The sequence below is a fragment of the Homo sapiens genome, chromosome 2 (genome assembly GCF_000001405.40).
Source record: "Homo sapiens chromosome 2, GRCh38.p14 Primary Assembly".
NCBI classification, from domain to species: domain Eukaryota; kingdom Metazoa; phylum Chordata; class Mammalia; order Primates; family Hominidae; genus Homo; species Homo sapiens.
The window spans coordinates 11,888,026-11,908,437 of NC_000002.12; the positions used below are offsets into that span (position 1 = coordinate 11,888,026).

Consider the following 20,412-nt stretch of genomic DNA (forward strand, 5'->3'; position numbering starts at 1 on the left):
CGTTCAAGTCTCTCTTTTTCCATCTCACAAATGCATAAAAATAGTCTATGAAGCAAGTGATAAAAGCTGAGAACATATCAAGAGTTTTCTTTAATTTACAGTCATTTGATTATAGTGAGGTTAAAAGTTTTTTATAAGTTAATTGGGCATTTGTATTTGCTTTATTTTTTCTTGCCCCCCCCCCCCCACATCCCTCCCTGTGTGTGTGTGTGTGTGTGTGTGTGTGTGTGTTTGGTAAATTTTTTATTTGTATCTTTTCCCATTGCTGTGGGTACCTACTTTTCTGGGTGATTTACATAGAGTTAAATTTTTGAGATTTTGGCTTCATGCTTTTTGTCTTTGGTGAAATACTTTGAAAGTCCTCTTATTTATCAATATTATATAAATATTTATAACTCTTATTTAAATAATTTTACATATTAAAAAAATGATATCTTTAAAGATCATCTAGAGTTCAGGTTATAAAATGTAAGCCAGGGTTCTAGTGTGATATTTTTTTCCTAAATGGTTAGCTAGGAGTTTGATTGCCATTGGTGGAAACCTTTTCCCTCCCAAAATATCTTTTGAAGAATAAGCAAAATTATACTGCCCCCTTGATTTGGCTGCCTATCTTGGAAACAGGCAAACACTCTTTCTGTTCTTATTAACTTAGTTTTAAAATTCATTTTAATTTCTTTTATTGCATGGCTTCTCTCCTTTCATTTCTACTGTTTTCTGCTCCCTTCCCCATAATGGCTCATTTAGTCTTATATGTTTTTTCCTATAGGAAATTTTAGAAGATTTTTTTTAAGTCTCCCATGATATTCCATTATATTTTGATTGAAATTTCATTACCTTTATGGGGAAAAAACAGATTCCAAAAATAAGGTAAGAAAGAAAATAATACCAGAGTAGAAATTTGGAGTCATACAGAACCAAATGGTAGAGGACAAAATCTGAGTGAAAGTTGGATGGAGAAAAAAATGATAGAAGAATAAAAGATCAGAGAAAAGATGACTTAAACATGGACTCGAAAATAAAGAAAAAATTAGAAACAATATTCAAAATAGTACAGAATAAAATTTTACTGAAACCAAAATAAGTTTTGAACCTTACTGAAAAAAATCTAATTAAATCTGGAAAATATCTTGATGTATTCTCATAAAAGGATTAAGTTCCAAGGATAGCAAAGTAATCCTAAAATACTTAAAGAAAAAACAAGTACAGTGGAAAAAAAATCAAGAAGGCCTCATACTTCCTTCTACAACGTTGGATAAAGACAGTTAACAGAACAACATTTATAAAGTTTGGATGAAGGGTTGTTATATAAAAATTCTATACCCAGCCAAACTATCATTTATATTTTTAATAAAGTATATTTTCATATTACAAAAGAAAAACATGTTTATTCTAGGAAATAAAACAAATAAAACCATGCTATTAAAAATTTAAAACATCTAAACTCAAAATCCCTGGAATCCAGATTTTTAAAATTCTAATTTCTCCACTGTTGCCTTTTCCTTGCAGCTGCCTACAGTGAGGTTTAGGGATTTTATGTTCACTCTGCTCCTGCAACCTCAAAACAATTACTATAATCTGGCTCTGTGTTCATTCTACCCACCAGGAAGAAAAATTTGATTTTGGTTTTGGTTAAAGAGGAATTGAGAAACAAGTTAGGAATGAACACATAGCATGAAAATGAATAGAATTATGAGCCTGCAGATGTGAGATTCAAGTTCATCCCTAAGCTTCAAATAAAAAACAGGCAAAGCTAAATGTTTTACAAATGAAACAAATCCTTAGTCGTTTATATTCTAGTAAGTCACAATTGTCAAGGGCTTCATTTGAATTAAGAGTCATTGCTTTGGGCAGAATTGGGCAGGCACCAATTTGTATATTTGATTCTTCAGTTAATTTTTGTGACCTTGGCTTCTTAGATCACAGAGCTTACTTTTTTTTTTAAAGCAAATGTGGAGTGCTGATAATTATGTCTGTCTTAAGTAGTTGTTTCGAAGGTTAAATGAAATGATGTGTAGAAAATGCTTAGCACAGCAAAACACCAAATATTAACTCATGAATAAATGGTGGTTGTTTGTTAAAAGGATAATTTAGTAAACACACAATAATGCTAGCATTATTTCAATGCTGTATAAAATCAATGGATGCTTCAAACCAAGAGCTCAAGAAATTAAGCATTCCTTCAACATCTTGGCCAAGCAATTAATTCTCATATTCATAAGCTTTGGTGATACATTATCAAGTAATGTCGGCCTCTTGTGAATTCTAACTTTTTAATTAATTCACCTCACAGGTACTGATTAGTACTAATTTATAGCTTAGTTTGCATATACTTGAAAGAGATGGAACTGTGTGTCTTCTGTATGCATATACACACTCACTCCTCAGATTTTGCTCTAGGGCCAGCCCCTGATCCCCCTTCCAGGCTGTCTTGCTCCTCATGCATAAGATTTTCCTGCAGTTTTTAGTGATTGTGACCAAACAGGCAATTTGTATAGTCATCTGTCCCAGTGCGGGCCTTTGGAAATGTCTTGACTCTCTCCTCTTTCTCCTGTATTAGCTCCATTTTCTGCCTCTGGTTGTCTTCATGGGATTGTAGCCAAATGCTATCAATGTGACTTAGTGGAAGCATCTTTAGGCTCAACGCCAAAAAGCCTGGGTTGCAGTCTTGGCACTGCTGGCTATTTACCATTGATCTCATAGGGGCCTATGACTTATCCTCCCAGAACCTCAGTTTTCTCCCTGAGGAAAATGGGTTGCAAAATATTGATGTTGCCAGGTTGTTGTGAGGATTTGAAAAATGGAATATGTTGAAGTGAATAGCTCTGTTTCTGGGTGTTTCAGAGGAGTGGGTAACGCAATGTCAGAAGCAATGAAATCATTTCTTTGAATGGAATGAGAAGAGATCAGCCTCTTTCTTTCCTGACTTGTTTTAGTAAAGGGAGACAAGGATCACTGAGAGGAGTAGAAAGGGTGCCAGGCAGGGAGGTGGGCGTGTGGCTGTCACCCTGCCCTGCGAGTGACTCCTGGCGAGGCTGGTGAGAGCCTGGACGATGCTAGCTTTGTTTGTCCCTGAGAAGAGGTGGGTGGGGTTGAGGTCAAACCCTCACGGTGGAGTGTCAAGGGCTGAGTCTGAGTCCTGGCATTGCTACTCTTAGCTGTGTGAGCTTGGGGGATCCGCATAGCCTTTCTGGGCCTCATCTGCCTTAGCTACAGAATTGAAGGTGATGATAACAGTTCTCCTCTTCTTACAAAATAGCTGCAGGGATTAGATAAGAAAATGAATGTGAAAGTGATTTATCAAGTGTAAAGTGCTGTACAGATGGTGGTTTTTATTGTAGATGATCTCAATTATCCCTTTTAGTTCTAAAGATTTGTGATTCTAAATACAGTGGTGTGAGCAAGAGGCGCTTTTTTTTTTTTCCTCAAGCAGCAGAGAGATTTCCTCTGAGTTTCCAGCTCTTAATGTACAACCAAGGCACTGTGTCTTAGGAGGAAATGTCCCTCCTTGGGGGACTGTGCCTGCCACACAAGGATACTGGGGTGAGTCCTCATCTTGAACTGGAGGATTTAGAGTAGCAAGATATAATCAGACCTTTTGAGGTTTAAATTCAGTTTTCTTGAGTCAAATTAAGATTTTGCAAAACCCTTTTCTTTAAACCCAAAAGCTCCAAGAGAGCTTAGATGACTTCTTGGATACAAGATAGCCTCATGGGGAGGGAGCAGGGGGCCATTCTCATGAACAAAGTGCAAATGAATCTGGAGCAGATGGATTTGATTTGCCCATCATATGCACATTTAAGTATTGAGTAGAAAAAGTCTTGGAAATGTGGATTTGGTGTTTTCCTCCTCAACTCTAAACATTTATAAATAGATCAAGATGCACAGGGGAAGGCAGTTGCATTCTTACTGTGGTTGAGAGTGGCCCAGGGGAGCGGTCAGACCAGGGCTACTTTCAGGTCTCCTGCTGAGCTCTTTCTCCAGGTCCCTTTGTCTCTGGACAAGGGGTCTCATCTGCACAATTGGCTACCTAAGTTGGGACCTTTACTGCAAAGTGAAAATGCAGGTCTCCATATTCAAAAATTAAGAACTTCAAGACAGTGACAGCAGAGCCCTACAGCAAGTGAGGGGCCCCATGCAACTCACCGATGATGCAGTCATGAAGCTATCTCTGCTTATCTGCCTGGAACACGATTTCTCCTCTCCCTCCAGGTCACCTGCCATGCTTGGCTTTGCTGCTTCCTTCTCACAGAACCTTCCTTGACTCTCCAGGAGAACAAGGTGCCCCTCCACTGTGCTCCTATAGCATCCTTTTCTCACCTCCATTATTGTACCGATTGACTATAATTGACTGTGTGTATTCATTTATTCACCCAACAAACCATTAATGCCTACAGTCTCATTAATGTTTGTTGACAGTACATATTTGACAATATTCGACAATGCAAATCAGTACATATTTGACAATGCAAATCAAGTCAAATATTGTTGAAAATGTTCAATGAGTTTATCAAAATGGGGTGAATGGGCACTGGGCCAAGTGCTGGCAAACACATTCTGGGAGTCTAAAGGAGTGAACCTAACTCTGGCCCTGGACAGTCTAGAAAAGTTTTCTTTAGGAGGTAATGCTTGAGTTGAGGCTTGAAGGATGAGTGATTGCAAAAAGAAAGTTAGAAGGACATGAACCAACAAGAGCAAAAGATATGGAAGTAAGGATTAGCTTGGTATATGCAGGGTTGATGGTACACGGAGTTTGAGGCAGTGTCTGAAGTTAAGTGGGGCTGGAGCAGTAGGTAGGTATTAAGTTACTGAGGCCCATGTTAAGCCACACAGCTTGCTTTGCCTCATCTGGGAAGTCACTGAAAGTTATCAGCTGAGGAGTAGATAGACTTGCATCTTACGTTAACCACTCTGGTTGCCATGGGGATAACAGATCAATGCACATGGAAGCAATAAGACAAATTAAGAAGTAATTCCAAGAAATAATGGTGACTTCAAATAAAATAGGTAATGGAAAAAAATGGTCCAGGCGCGGTGGCTCATGCCTGTAATCCCAGCACTCTGGGAGGCTGAGACTGGTGGATTGCTTGAGTTCAGAAGTTTGAGACCAGCCTGGGCAACATGGCAAAATCCTATCTACACGAAAAAACAAAACAAAAACAAAGTTAGCCAGGTGTGGTGGTGCATGCCTGTAGTCCCAGCTACACATAGGAGGCTGAGGTAGGAGGATCGCTTGAGCCCAGGAGGTCAAGGCTGCAGTGAGCCATGATCATGTCACTGTACTCCAGCCTAGGTGACAGAATAAGACTCTCTCAAAAAACCCAAACCAAATAACAAGAACAAGTACAACAAAATCCCTCCAAAATGTATAGATTTAAGAGATGGTTAGGGTGTAGGCTAGCAAGATTGATGGGATGTGGTACCCAAAGGAGGGGAAGAATTTAAAGAGGAATTCTTGTTTCTTACATGAGTAACTTGGTTTATTGTTGTAATTCAAACTGAGAAAGACACTAGAAGGCTGTTTTTGAGGGGCAGATGAAGGAGATAGTGGAAATAAATTTTTGATTTGGACAATTTGAGTCTGAGGCTCCATTGGGTGCCTGTGTGAAAATTTGCACCAGGCAGTGCCCCCTATAGTGTGAAGCTATGGGGAGAGCCAGTCTGAAGCCACAGATTTCAAAGCATGAGTATGTAGGTGGCAGTCCAGCCGCCCCATTTGATAAACTTATTGAGCATTTTCAACAATATTTGACTTGATTTGCATTGTCTTTGGCCATACGTTATTTAAAATAATAAATTATAAAAGCCATGTTGATGGGGATGGGACAGGAAGCAATGAGTTGGGTAAATGGCAGGTGAGGAAGTATAAATAAGATCAGACAATTATTTCAGAAACTTGGATAGGAGGGAAAGTCATGGAATGGTGGGCTAAGGAGGGATTTGGATTCAAGGAGGTGATCTTCAGATGTTTGTTTCCTGTGGCTGCTGCAACAAATTGCAACAAATGTGGTGGCCTTAAACAACACAAATTTATTCTTACAGATATGGAGGGCTTAGGCCCTAAAATCAAGGCATCAGTATGGCTGCATTCTTTGTGACAGCTCTCAGGGAAGAATCCATTTTCTTTCCCTTTTCAGCTACCGGAGGCAGCCTGCATTTCTTAGCCCGTGGTTCCTTCCTTGTGTCCCTCCCACCTCTGCTTCTGTCATCACGTCTTTTCTGACTTGGACCATCCTGCCTCCCTCTTATCAGGATCCTTATGATTACACTGGAGCCTACCTGGTTAATCCAGATAAATCTCCCTGATATGGTTTGGCTGTGTCCCCACCCAAATCTCATCTTGAATTGTAGCTCCCATAATTCCCATGTGTTGTGGGAGGGACATGGTGGGATATAATTGAGTCATGGGGGTGGTTCCCCCATACTGTTCTTGTGGTAGTGAATAAGTCTCACGAGATCTGATGGTTTTATAAGGGGTTTCCCCTTTTGCTTGGTTCTCATTCTCTCTTGTCTGCCACCATGTAAGACGTGCCTTTCACCTTCTGCCATGATTGTGAGGCCTCCCCAGCCATGTGGAACTGTGAGTCCATTAAACCTCTTTTTCTTTATAAATTGCCCAGTCTCAGGTATGTCTTTATCAGCAGCATGAAAACAGACTAATACACTCCCCATCTCACCAATTTCCTAATTTAATCCCATCTGCAAAGTACCTTTTTCCATATAAAGTAACAGATGCACAGGCTCTGGGAATGAGGATGTGGGCATCTTTGGGTGGGGACTTTATAGCGTCTGTCATGGGATGGGAGAGGATTGAACATGTTATCTGAGGGTAAGGAGGTGGGAAGGAGACAGAGAAAGCGGTGATAGTGGATATCATAGGCAGGGGGATGAAGGGGGAGTAAATGAGGAATAAGGCAATGATGGGAGTGGATTGACAGTTTGGATGAGAGACTAGATTGACAGGGAGGCATGAGGTAGTAAGGCCATGAGAGGGGCTTAGTAGCGGGGTGGGGAAAATGGTAAATGTGTGTGGAATAATGGGAGTTTGGGGTGGAAGTAAAGGTAAGTGAAGGATGTGAGGGCTGGTGCTGAGGATCTAGCTGGCATTAGAGAGATACATTTGTAATTGTTTCAGTTCTGATGTCTCTTTCTTTGAGTGGTCTGTCACTTGGGTGTAGAAATGCAGATGTTGGGTCTTACTGGGCAGGGATGGCAGAAGCCATCCCCGTGGTCCATGTGGTCTGTGATGGTTACTTTTATGTGTCAACTTGACTAGGCCACAGGGTGCCCAGACATTTGGTCAGACAGTACTCTGGGTGTGTTTAGAAGAGAGGTCTAGAAGAGGTTAACATTTGAATCTGGACTGAGTAAAGCAGAGGGCCCTGCCTAATGTGAGTAGCATCATCGAATCCATTGAAGGCCTGAAAAAGGATGGGTAAGAGGGAACTCCACCTGTCTGACTGTGTGAGCTAGGACATTGGTTTTCTCCTGGTTTTGGACAGTACTGGAACTTACACCATTAGCTTTCCTGGTTCTCAGGACTTTGGGCTTGGACTGGAATCACCATTGGCTATCCTGTTTTTTTTTTTTTTTTTTTTTTTTTTTAAGATAGAGTTTTGCTCTTGTTGTCTCAGGTTGGAGTGCAATGGTGTGGTCTTGGCTCAATGCAACCTCCACTTCCCAGGTTCAAGTGATTCTCCTGCCTCAGCCTCCCTAGTAGCTGGGACTACAGGCACCAGCCACCATGCCTGGCTAATTTTTGTATTTTTAGTAGTGACAGGGTTTCACCATGTTGGCCAGGCTGGTCTCAAACTCCTGACCTCAGGTGATCCACTCACCTTGGCCTCCAAAGTGCTAGGATTACAGGCATGAGCCACCACACTGGGCCTCTCCTGGGTTTTAAGCTTACTGACTGCAGAATGTTGGGACTTCTCAGGCACTATAATCGTGATCATGTGAGCCAATTCCTTGTAATAAATCATATATGTATAAGGATATACACATATACAAACGCATATATATCTTATTGGTTCTCTTTCTCTGGAGAATCCTAAATGTATGGGAAAACTGGGCAGTTCCAGGCTTTAGAGGTCCCTTCAAAGTCAAAGACTGGTGTAGGAAGAAGGAGGATGGGAAAGATATGGAAGAATTGGAGATGGTAGTCAAAAGGCAGCATAATGGCATTTAATATTTGTGAAATGGCAGGATATAATCCCCAGAGATCCTAATTATGTAGGGCTAGGGTGTAACCAAGAATCTGATTTTAAAATAAAATGATCTTTCACGGATGATGGTGCAATGCACCCAGGGTTGGGAACCTTCCTGCCAGGGAATGACTGTTAGCCAATCTGACCTAATGTGGGAGGGCCAGCCCCTCTGCCCATCATCTGCAAATGCCACCCTTGCCATCTGGCATGGGGAAGTCTTTGTGTATAGGAATCCATATCTTTCTTGTCAATGTATGCACTTGTTCCATTTTCTTTCACTGCAGTCATTTTTCCTGTATTGCTGAACAAGACAGCTTCCTCCAACATTCCATCAGCAACACTGGCTGCCTGCTGTTTTTGTGAATCCCTGCATGGCTTCTCTTTGTGTTCTTAGCTTCCCGCCTCTTCTCTTTCAGCGTTGAGTCCTACTGCTCTGTGGAGAAAGCAGGGATGTTGTGAATTCCTTTTGGTAGGCTCACTTCTTTATTGGTATCTGAGCTGAAAACAGATTTCACTGTCAGATAGAAATGTAGATACCAAGACAATTTCGGTATCACACTATTAAAAGTAATCATGGCTGCAACAGCTGGGAGTTAGGAAGAATATTGCTTTTAAACCATTTCATGTCAAATATCTCCTAGGTTGCATAAACATCCTCCTTTATGTAGCACCTTGCAGAGTCCCTGAATGTACAATGGGCCCTCAATTAATGGCTTTGCTCCCTCAATCAAATGGACAATAAGAATGAGATGATGGAACGCTTAGTACGTGCCAAGCACTGAGACAGTCCCTATATAATCATCTAATTCTTTCAACAATCCTGCGATGCCATTATTACCCTCCTCTTAGAAATCATGAAACAGAAGCTGAGGAAATGATCTGAACTCTTCAAATTTTGGACAACACTCTCATGACTCTTACTATGTAAGAAGTATATTATTAGAGGTATTATTCAGGACTGTGACTTTTCAATAGGACTGATTTCTCCCTCTGTTAATTTGGACTCAGCCTTTCTGTTTATGATGCCTTGGTTTGTCCTTTAATTGTAATGTAAGTCTATCACCATCTGGCTGCCTCTCCTTCCATTCTTTATGGTTAGCTGTTTATGCTCTGGCTATGACAAATTCAAAGTTCAAGTCGTATTTCTGGCTAATTCTTTTTTTTTTTTTTTAAACATTTATTTAGGAGGACTTGAGAAGAAAGAGTGGGTACTTTTAAAGTCTAGAGTGGTCAGAACCAGAAGGTGGATCTTACAATATCCTTAACAGTTTGAGATATAGAATCTTCTCTTTTCAAGATGTCACACTATTGTGTTAGCATCATATTCAAAATTTAGAGCCTAAGCACCTCCCTCCTATCTCTCCTACTCAAATATATTAATTTATCCTTTGTTAAATACTGTAAATATTCCAAACCATTGAAAGGCGAACACTTAAATTATCCTGAATTAGGACGCGTTCAGCTTTTTCCTTGGCATCCATCTGAATAAACAGTATGATTCTGTGGCATCTGAATTTTGCATTTAGATCAGCATTCTTAAGAAAGCAAGATGACCTGATTTTTATTTTCCTTTGTAAGCATATTGTGATGATTCCACAAAATAATTGCACCTCTCCGCCCATGTCTGGTGCATAGCTTCACTGTGGCGTGATTTCCAACAGGGCAGTAGTTGATGGGGAAATATGAATTGTTCTGGCAGGGAATAGGCAGAATCAGAGAAATCAGGAGAAAAAAAATCAGTGAGGCTTGGAAGTAGCTGACTGAGTATGAACTCGAAGTCATGACTTCCCCCGTACTAGAGAATAAAAGAGGCAGAGGAGGAGGGATCAGAAGGATAGGGGGAACCGTCTTGGGTAATTTGTTGATGGTGTGAAGCCACTGGCAGGGGGAAAGGTCATTGGATTGGGCTATCAAGAGGACACTGAGACCTCCTGATAGAAAAACCATCACTTTAGGCCGAGCGCGGTGGCTCATGCCTCTAATCCCAGCACTTTGGGAGGCCGAGGCGGGCAGATCAATTGAGGCCAGGAGTTCAAGATGAGCCTGGCCAACATAGTGAGACCTTGTCTCTACTAAAAATACAAAAATTAGCCAGATCTTGTGGTGCATTCCTGTAATCCCAGCTACTCAGGAGGCTGAGGCAGGAGAATCCCTGAACCCGGGAGGTGGCAGAGCAGTGAGCTGAGATTGCACCACTACACTTCAGCCTGGATGAGACCCTGTATCCAACAAAAAAAAAAAAAAAGAAGAAAAAAACCATGCTTTAACTCAGTTGACAATGTCCCCTGTCTGCACCAGGCACTGCGGCCTCTCCTATGTGTCTCTCCATATAGGCCAAGTTTATGTTATGCTGATTACATTGAAAAACAAAATATTTTGTGCAGAAGCAGAAAGGCTGGGAGGACAAGTGTTAGGGAGAGTGTGTGTGGTGAGGGAGAGAGGCCACAGGGACAGGGGAAGGGGGAGAGGTGGTGAAATGGGGAAGATGGAAACAGTATCGGCCAGCAGGAGCTGGGATGGGGCTGGAGCCTGATGCCTGAAGGGCAGAAAGGGGTAGTTTGAGGAACCCAAGTACAGCTTGGTACTGTGATGCAATGTCAAAGTAGACGGGCATATTTGGAGATCAAGACACAAGCCTCAAGTCGTTGCACCTCTATGAGCCTCTGTTTCCAAATATATAAAATGGGCACAATTGTAGCCCCTCCCAGGGTTATGAGAGTTAAATAAGGTGGTGTGTACTGCATAAAGGGTTTAGTCCAGAACCATGGGCCAGGGCCAGGGCCGGAGGGACATTTGTCTGTCCTCTTCCCTTTTGTGGAGTGAGGGGTTAGTTTTGAAGCACAAGAAGAGAGAAGGGGAGGGTCGCAAAGAAGGGTAGCGAGAAGGGGAATCAAGGGAGCTCATGTCAGTGCCTCCCAAACTCAAGCCTATTTGATCGTTAATCCTGATATTTCCATTTCCAATTGAGCACTTTACAGCCTTCTAGTGTGGAAGATATCTAAAATTTATCCAACCAGTACTCTGTCTTCATCCAAGTGAAGTAGGTAAGCTGGATTTCATGAAGTAACTGAATCCCAGAGAGGCTGGGACCTGTCCTGTATCATGTAGCCTGTGAAAGGAGAAACTGGGGTGAGAATATCACAGTGAGGGCTGAATTCTTCCTATTGGTGTTTGGAGGAGAGGTCTGTCCCTGGAAGGCTGGGGTCTCCTGGCTGGCCTGACTCCACCTTGCCCAGCCTGGGGCCCATCACCTCCCAGTGAGAGAGCCCAGTGAACCCGCAGTGGGATTAGATGCCGCTCCTGTCCAACCACCTGATGACTTTTACAGCAAAATTTCTTCTTAAATCTGGTTAGAGTTTCTGACTAAGGGAGGAGTGAGTCACCCAACAGCCTTCATCTGAGCAGAACAATGAACGTGTTAAAGTCATCAGGCATGCGGGCTGGGAGTATATGATGCTGTTCCTCATCTGGTCTAGGACAGAATGTCCTTAGGAAGGTACGAACAATTTTGCTGGTGAGAACCCCTGATTGAAAAACCATCACTTTACTCAGGCGACAATGTCCCCCGTCTGCCCTGGGTGCTGCTGTCTCTCCTATGTGTCTTTCCATATAGACCAAGTTTATGCAATACTGATTACATGGAAAACAAAGTATTTGTATAGATACCAACAAAAGCAATGGGTAAATGAGGCTTACTTTTGTTTTAAATGAGCCTTGTTTAAAACAGAAACCTGCTTTCAATCATAGCTCATTTTACATCAGTCACGTCCTGGGCAGAAATCAGTGTGGTGTCTACAGAGCCGAATATCAGGACAGCTGGATTCTAGTTCTGTTGGGCTATAACCCCTGTGTGACCCTGGGTGGCTTATTTCCCCTCCCTTTCCCTTAATTTTCCTATTTGTAAGATGAGAGATTTGGACTGCATCTTCGAGAGCATTTCCAACTCCTAGCTCTTGCCATGGATGAGCCGACGCTGGCAGATCCTGCTTTCTCTCCAGTGGTTAGCAACTTTCAGAAGCTCCTCGTGGTTAATTGGGAACAATCTTCCTGCTTCAGCTTCTTTCCTCTGCCTAGAACAACTTCTATTCTCCTCCTTCTCTACCAGGAATTCTCTTTTCCATTCTTTAAGACTTGGCTCAGGCCACACTACTTGCAGAAGCCCTCTTTGACCCTGGGGCGAGAGGCTGGGTTCTGTATTAGTTTGTTAGGGCTGCTATAACAAAGTAGCATCCACTGAGGATGTTAAACAGCAGAAGGTTCTGGAGGCCAGAAATCAGAGCTCAAACTGTCAGAGGGATTTGAACAAGAGCGACTCCATCTTGAGTAGGGGCTGGGTAAAATAAGGCTGAGACCTACTGGGCTGCATTCCCAGATGGTTAGGCATTCTAAGTCACAGGATGAGATAGGAGGTCAGCACATGATACAGGTCATAAAGACCTTGCTGATAAAACAGGCTGCAGTAAAGGAGCCAGCTAAAACCCACCAAAACCAAGATGGCCACGAGAGTGACCTCTGGTCATCCTCACTGCTACACTCCCACCAGCGCCGTGGCAGTTTAGAAATGCCGTGGCAGCCTCAGGAAGTTACCCTTTATGGTCTAACAAAAAGGAGGCATGAATAATCCACTCCTTGTTTAGCATATAATCAAGAAATAACCATAAAAATGTGCAACCAGTAGCCCTCAGGGCTGCTTTGCCTATGGAGTAGCCATTCTTTATTCCTTTACTTTCCTAATAAACTTGCTTTCACTTTACGGACTCGCCCTGAATTCTTTCTTGTGTGAGATCCAAGAACCCTCTCTTGGGGTCTGGATTGGGACCCCTTTCCTGTAACAAAGCTGTGGGCGGGGTTGGGTTTTTTCTGGGGCTGTGAGGGAGACTGTTGCAGGCCTCTCTCCCAGCTTGTGGGGCTTTGTTCTTGGCCTACAGAAGCATCACCCAAATCTGTCTCCATCTTCACATGGCTCCTCCCTGTGTGCACATCTGTCTCCCAGCTTCCCCTTTCCACGAGGACACCAGTCATAGTAGGTTAGGACCCATCCTTCTTCAGCATGACCTTGTCTTAACCACTTACTGCCCTATTTCCAAATAATGGCACATGCTGAGCTACACAGGGAGGGGGATTAGGACTTCAACATAGGAGTTTTGGGGGGACACAATTCAGCTCACAACAGGTACCCTTGCTGCGCCCCCTGCACCCCTTCCATGCCAGCTCCATGGCGCTGTGGACCATCTTTCCCAGGGCAGCCTGAGTAGCAGAGGAGGCTGAGCCAGAGCGGAGCCTGGAGAGCGGTGAAGAGTTGTCCACAGGTCTGGACTGTGGGTCCAAGAAACAGCAGCCAAAGGGAGCAAACAGCAGCTCCATATAGACCATATAGATATGAGTTGCAGTTGCTCACATCTGCAACTCACGCACCAGGAGATGAGGGAGGCAGATCGCAGTGGCAGCCCCAAGGCTTGGAGCGGAGACAGGTATGTGTCTGGGGCTGCCTAGAAAGATGGGTGGAGCTACAGAGGAGGTGGGCGTGGTCAGGAGGAGAGGCCCACTCAGGAGACAGGGAAGGCCGCTCAGGCTACGGCTGTCTGGCAAGGATGGTGATTCCTTCTGTCCTGGAGCCCTTTACAGTTTAAACACTCACTCGGTTGGACAATTTCTGTTGGTGTTCAACCCCTGGATGGGCAGGAGTTGTCTTTTGCTTTGACAGCATATTCCAAATTTGTGTAAGTGGACCCTCAGCTGCAGTCCAGGGCTCACCCATTTGGCTTCCTGGATCCCCTTATCTAACGGGACGGAACTCCACAGCCCGGTCTTCCCCTGAGTCCTGGCCGCGTTGCTCTCCCTCGTGTCGCTATCTCCTTGTTTCCTCGAATTTCATTTTGGAAAATTCCCATTGCACAGCCCAGTGGCTGGAGTTTTGGTGAAATTTCTTTGGAGTCTTGTGTTGTGTTTTAAAAATCTATGCAGATTTTTGAATTCTATTCTATTTTTTCAAGTTTGCACTAGTGTAAATGTATTATTTGAAACGACTTGGCTTTGATCTTGGAGGGAGATGGAGCAAGTCGATCCTGGGGCTTGCTGTAGGCCTGCCCACTCCATACATGTGGGTTCCTGGATTTTTTGACTTGCGATTTCAGTTTTTTTACTTTTTTTTTTTTTTTTTTTGACAGAGTCTTGCTCTGTCCCTCAGGCTGGAGTGCAGTGCCATGATCTTGGCTCACTGCAATCTTCGCCTCCTGGGTTCAAGCAGTTCTGTCTCAGCCCCCCAAGTAGTTGGGGCTACAGATGCTCATCACCACACTTGGCTAATTTTTGTACTTTTAGTAGAGGTGGGGTTTCACCATGTTGGCCAGGCTGGTCTTGAACTCCTGACCTCAAGTGATCCACCTGCCTCGGCCTCCCAGAGTGCTAGTATTACAGGCGTGAGCCACCATGCCCAGCCTCTTCCCATATTTGGTCTGGCTGGATACCCTAAAGGGTAATGTCCTTCTCAGCTGCTAGACCCAGGCTCCTGGCCCTCCTTCTCCCCAGTGGCACTCTGAGACCAGCCTCATCCATCTCACCTGTCCTGGCTACCAGGGCAGGGCCAGACATGCCTTTCAGAAAGTGCCCTATCTGATGCCTCATTTTCATTCTTGGACAGAGCATACCCACAGTTCCAGTCCTTCACAACTGAGGTCTTTGGGGCTGGACCCCTGGGGTGCTCTGTCTTGGGGGAACTGTGAGCCACCCTTAAGCTCTTCCATTCCTCTGGCTCCATTTCTTCAAGCCACCAAGACCTTTCCAAAGGGGCCAAGAAGGTATCTCCAACCTAGGCCTCTTCTCCCAGCTGAGGAAAAGGCAGAGAAGTGGAGGATGCTTACCCTGCCCCTGCCTCTGCCATTTCTCCCCAGCTTATGGTCTGATTTTGAGGTAGGAGGCAGGACTCAACTCCGGAAGCAGGGCTTGGACACTGGACCAGATTGAGGATTAGCAAGAAACAGGGCAAGTGTAGAAACAGCTTTCAATCAGACACTCCCACCAATGTGCCATGTCGGTCTATCCTTGCCATGGCAACACCCAGGAGTTACTGCCGCTTTCCCTGGCAATGACCCAGTGACCAAAAAGTTACTTCCCCTTCCCTAGAAATTTCTACATAAACCACCCTTTAATCTGCATGCAATTAAAAGTGGATATACATATGACTGCAAAACTGCCCTGAGCTACTACTCTCCGCCTAACTCTGCTCTGCAGGGGCAGTCATGGGGCTGTAACACACCTCTTCAATAAAGCCATTTTCTTCTACCTTTGGCTTGCCCTTGAATTCTTTCCTGAGCAAAGCCAAGATCCCTCATGGGCTAAGTGCCACTTTCAGACTCACCTGCACTGTGTCAGTTTCACCTCCTCCGTAAGTCTCAAAGAGCCAGTGCTTAGGTGTCTAAGGACTTGGGTTCACATCTTTCTTCCACTTATTAGGTATGGGATCTTGTGGTAGCCTTATAACTGCTATGAACCTCCGTTTCCTTATTTGTAAAATAGGGATATTCAACTCCAGTTGAAAGAGTTAAGTGGGATAACAAATAATAATATGGTTTGGCTCTGTGTCCCCACCCAAATCTCATCTCTAATTGTAATTCCCACGTGTCAGAGGTGGGCCCTGGTGGGAGGTGATCAAATTATGGGAAAGCACTTCCCCCTTGCTGTTCTTGTGATAGTGAGTTCTCACGAGATCTGATGTTTAAAAATGTGGCGCTTTCCTCTTCTCTCTCTCTCTCTCTCCTGCTCCACTATGGTAAGACGTGCCTTGCTTCCCCTTCACCTTCTGCCACGATTGTAAGTTTCTTGAGGCCTCCCCAGCCATGTGGAACTGTGAGGCAGTCTCAGGCAGTTCTTTATGGCAGTGTGATAGCGGTCTAATACAGATGGTAAAGCACGCACCACAGTGCCTGACATACAGCTGGCACCTGGTCAATGGGCATTGTCCTTCTCGGCTCCCTTCCACCTCATTTTGTCTATTTTTCCACTGTTGCACCTGCTGTTCTTTCTGGGGGAGTTCCTTAGTTCCCTTTCTGCATCATCTGCCTGCCTGCCCTCTCTGAGCTCCTCCTAGTGGAGGCCCATGTGCAGGGTGGGGTAAGGGGCCAATGGTGGCCTGTGCTGCAAATGAGGAACCTGGGTCCACAGGGGTGGCTCTGCCGGGGCTGCCCTGGAGACTGGGCTGTCTCCAAATCTTAGCTCACCTGGATCACAGCCACATTTGCAGAGGTGCCTGGTGACAGGTATGTGACCAGGACCATATTTTAAATTAGATCTGGCTGACTTTGCCAGGTTGGTGTCTGAGATGTGAATCTTCTCAGCCTTGCTCATGTCTCATGGGGGACTTACCTTCCTTCCCACTATGTTTTCCTGTAGCCATATGCATGTGGCCACTCACACCAAAATCTTCTAGCTGTTTGTAACCTGTCTCATAAAAATATTAATTTACTTACTTGTTATCTTACACGATTCTCTTTGTTTCCACTTTGGAGCTAGGACCCATATCTGCTTTTCTTGTACATCTTTTCAGCTCCTTGCACATTGCTGAGTTTAGGAAGGATCCTCAAAATACTGTGTCTGCTTTTCAGTCTACAAAAGCAACAGCAGCTAACATCGTCATAGTTTGCCAAACAAGCTCTATGATTTTATTTAATCTTCTCACCGGCCATAAGAGATAGCTATTGTGGTAATGGGAGAACCAAAGTTCAGAGAGACTCAGCAACTTGCCCAGGGTTGCATAGACAGTAGGTTATATCAGGGTAAGTGGGACCACAGGACCCGGATTGAGCAAAGCTGAAGCTACATAGCACAGTCAAGCACATGCTTGGGTTCTGCAGAATTTACTCTTGCTGCTTGGATAGCTCATGGCTTAAGCCTTGTCCTAGTCAAGGGATGTAACCAAAGCGATAAATCTGATCTGTATCCTTAAGATGGCTTAGCTGGTCTTTCATCTCAGACAACAAGGCTCTTTAGGAAATCACCTCCTTATGTTAACTTTAAAAAATGCAGTTCTTGCACTAAATAGCTATTTTCCATTTTTTAAAAATTGCATGAGCACACAGTATTTATCTCATCGAAAATTATGATAAACCCCCTGAATGTTTTATGTTTTTCACGATTCATATGGAACAAATTAAAAATAACTTTCCATAGTATGAATTGCCCCAGAGCATGGTGCAAAGACCCTTCATCCTGCCTGCTCCTGCCAACTTCACCACATCTGCCTCAAATGTCAACACCTGCCATCAGAGAGAGGCTCTGGTGAAAGTGTCCAGTGAAACACCTGGGCTCACATCTGGAGCCTTTGTCTGACAGGCTGCCATGACTTCCAAGGGAGAAGGTGTCATTTATGATATTTTATTCATACGCACATGCAATTGGGAAGATCGGTAATTTTTATTACTGTGTTTAGATTTAAAGTCTGCCTTGTCAGTTGCTTCTATAAGTATTTTAAAAAGGAAAAATGCAAGCCACCAAAGTTTGAGCTTTCATGAGACACGTTGTGCCAGGACAAGTTTGAAAGGCTGTGGATGTCATTGTGTCTGCTGGTTTTGGTCACACTCATCTCTGCTTTAGCATGGCCTGGTCACAGGGCTAAGCAAGTGGTTGGATGTGGATTTCAACTCATGTTTGTTGGACTAGAAGAACTTTTTATTTCCATGCCTCGACTTTGCAAGATTGGCTCTGAGTGACAGCTCTACCATTCTGTAACAGTGACCTGAAGCAAATCACTTAACTTCTCAGTGAAGTGGGACAATGAAAACCAACTTCAGTGAATTACTGTGAAGAGTGAATATACAAGGAACATCTAGTTGTTCAGTAAAGGGAGGCAAGAAGTTAAAATATCAGGTTAATGGATCTGCCAGTGTAGCTCAGGGAAACCTGGGAGGAGTAGGATCTGGTGGCATCTTCCTCTCCTTCTTACATTCCTTTCACACCCCTAAACCAGGGCATACACAAAAGCATGAGGATCAGGTCTGGACTTCTCTGAAGGGACAGCGGGCAGCATTTGCTCTGTGGATACTTTTCCAACACTGAGCAGAGAGGTCAAAAGGAAGGCAATCCTTTTGCTAAGCTCAGAGAGCTGAGATGGCTCAGCCTTAGGGCTGGCCCTCCAGGTGTGGAGAGGAAACTGGGTCTTCTCTCTGGGATCTTTCCTGTATCCTATGGGCCAGAGAGAGTAAAGGTGGTGAGGTACTCTCTCTGGATATCTCTATTCAGAGAGAGTAAAGGTGGTGAGGAGGCCAGGGCAGGAAGTGCTAGGTAGGTCTCAGTGCCCATCTGGCTGGCTGTCTGTCCGTCCATCCATCCATCCATCCATCCATCCATCCATCCATCCTCCTTTCAATATTTTTTTCTTTTTTGAGATGGAGTCTCACTCTGTCGCCCAGGCTGGAGTGCAGTGGCGCGATCTCGGCTCACTGCAAGCTCCGCCTCCTGGGTTCACGCCATTCTCCTGCCTCAGCCTCCCGAGTAGCTAGGACTACAGGCGCCCACCACCACGCCCGGCTAATTTTTTGTATTTTTAGTAGAGATGAGGTTTCACCATGTTAGCCAGGATGGTTTCGATCTCCTAACCTCGTGATCCGCCCGCCTCAGCCTCCCAAAGTGCTGAGATTACAGGCGTGAGCCACCGCGCCCGGCCCTTCCTTTCAATATTTATTGAAGCCTGTTTGGTGTTAGGCACTGGATTTAGGGCTGAGAATATAGACATGATTCTCAAAGTTCAGTGTCCTCCAAGACTATCCCAACACTGCCTCTTTCAAATAATTCTGGTTAATCTCTTTCACATAATTTTTCATGATCTGAAATTATATTATGTATTTTATGTGCATGTCTTCTCCACTGGAATATCAGCTCCTTCAGAGCAGGGACCTTGTTTGTCTTGTTCACGGGTCTGTCCCCATTGGCCCCCATAGTTTCTGGCATATACTGACTGAACAAGCTGACTTCAGAAGGATGAAGGGTACGACAAAGCCCGAGGAGTTCAGAAACCTTAACATAAAAGTCATGAGGGGAAGGAGTTCTCCCAGAGGAGGGGTGTGTAGTGTTCTGATAATTGCACTGGCAGCAGCTCAGAGACAAGCTGCTGGTTTTGTAATTGTGAAAGATTTTGCCCTGTCCATACCTTCTTCCCTGTAACTGTGCAGGGTCTTCCTGTTCTGGTTTTTGGCTTGGCCGTGTAGCTGGCTTTGGCCAGCGGGAAGTTAGCAAACAGGATGCAAAGAGGAACTAGAAAAGTCCTTGCTTTGTTGGGCTTCCTGCTCCTGTGCTACATTATCACCATGAGAACAAACCTGGGCTAGTTCATTAAAGGACGAAGGATAAGCACAGCTGAGCTGCCTCGGATGCTCCAACCAGGCCATCCCAGATCAGCCAGCACCTAGCCAACCCAAACATAATATGAGTGAGCCCAGCCTGAATCTCCAATCCCTCAGACTTGTGAGCTAAACAAATGTTTTTTGTTGTATGCTACTGAAGTTTGGAGGTATTTGTTATGTAGCGTTATTGTGGCAACTGATGATCAATACAGGAACCTTCTATGGGGGCTGGCTATATGCATGCCTTCTATTGGCCTCAACTAAAGTGATAGTAATGCTAATCATTAATTACTATTTATTGAATACCTACAGACTGGCCCAGGCACTGTTTAAAGACAGTCTGTGTTTTATTTCTAATCCTCACAATAAACTTTTAAGGTTGGCAAAATGACAATGACCACCCTCATTTCTGCTACTTAATAAGCCACATATACAAGTGGTTATGGCCGCAGATACTGAATTCAGATTGCCCGGGTTCAAATCTGAGTACATTTTCTCCATTGTTTTGTGACCTTGGGCAGGAGAGACAGTATCCTTCACCTTTGTGCCCTTTGGTTTCCTCATATGTAAAATGGGATAATAACAACATCTATTTCATTGAGTTGCCTTGAGGATTGGCTCATTAATTACTGTTTGACACACAGGTGCTTAAGGCAGTGCCCTGGGCACAGTGCTCATAAATGCTGCCCTGATTATTGGTGTCCTCAGGCAATAGGCCCAGGGCTAAGCATTTCCTACATATGATTTCACTGCATTCTCACAGAAACCCAGGAGAAAGAACTTGTTATCTCCATTTTATTGAAGAGGAAACTGAGGGTAGAGGGGATTATACTCGAGACCACCAGCTAAAAAGTAGTGAGTAGGCTGGGTGCAGT

The 20,412-nt window shown here is 44.1% G+C and overlaps 2 annotated features.

The window, feature by feature from the left end:
• Positions 13,538–13,832: a silencer, noted in NCBI's record as "tiled region #12680; K562 Repressive DNase matched - State 6:EnhF". NCBI's record gives its function as "represses a minimal TATA promoter and a strong SV40 promoter by Sharpr-MPRA in K562 cells {active_cell/tissue: K562}" and the evidence as "EXISTENCE:reporter gene assay evidence [ECO:0000049][PMID:27701403]".
• Positions 16,002–16,131: an enhancer, noted in NCBI's record as "active region_15330". NCBI's record gives its function as "activates an Ori minimal core promoter by ATAC-STARR-seq in GM12878 lymphoblastoid cells {active_cell/tissue: GM12878}" and the evidence as "EXISTENCE:reporter gene assay evidence [ECO:0000049][PMID:35858748]".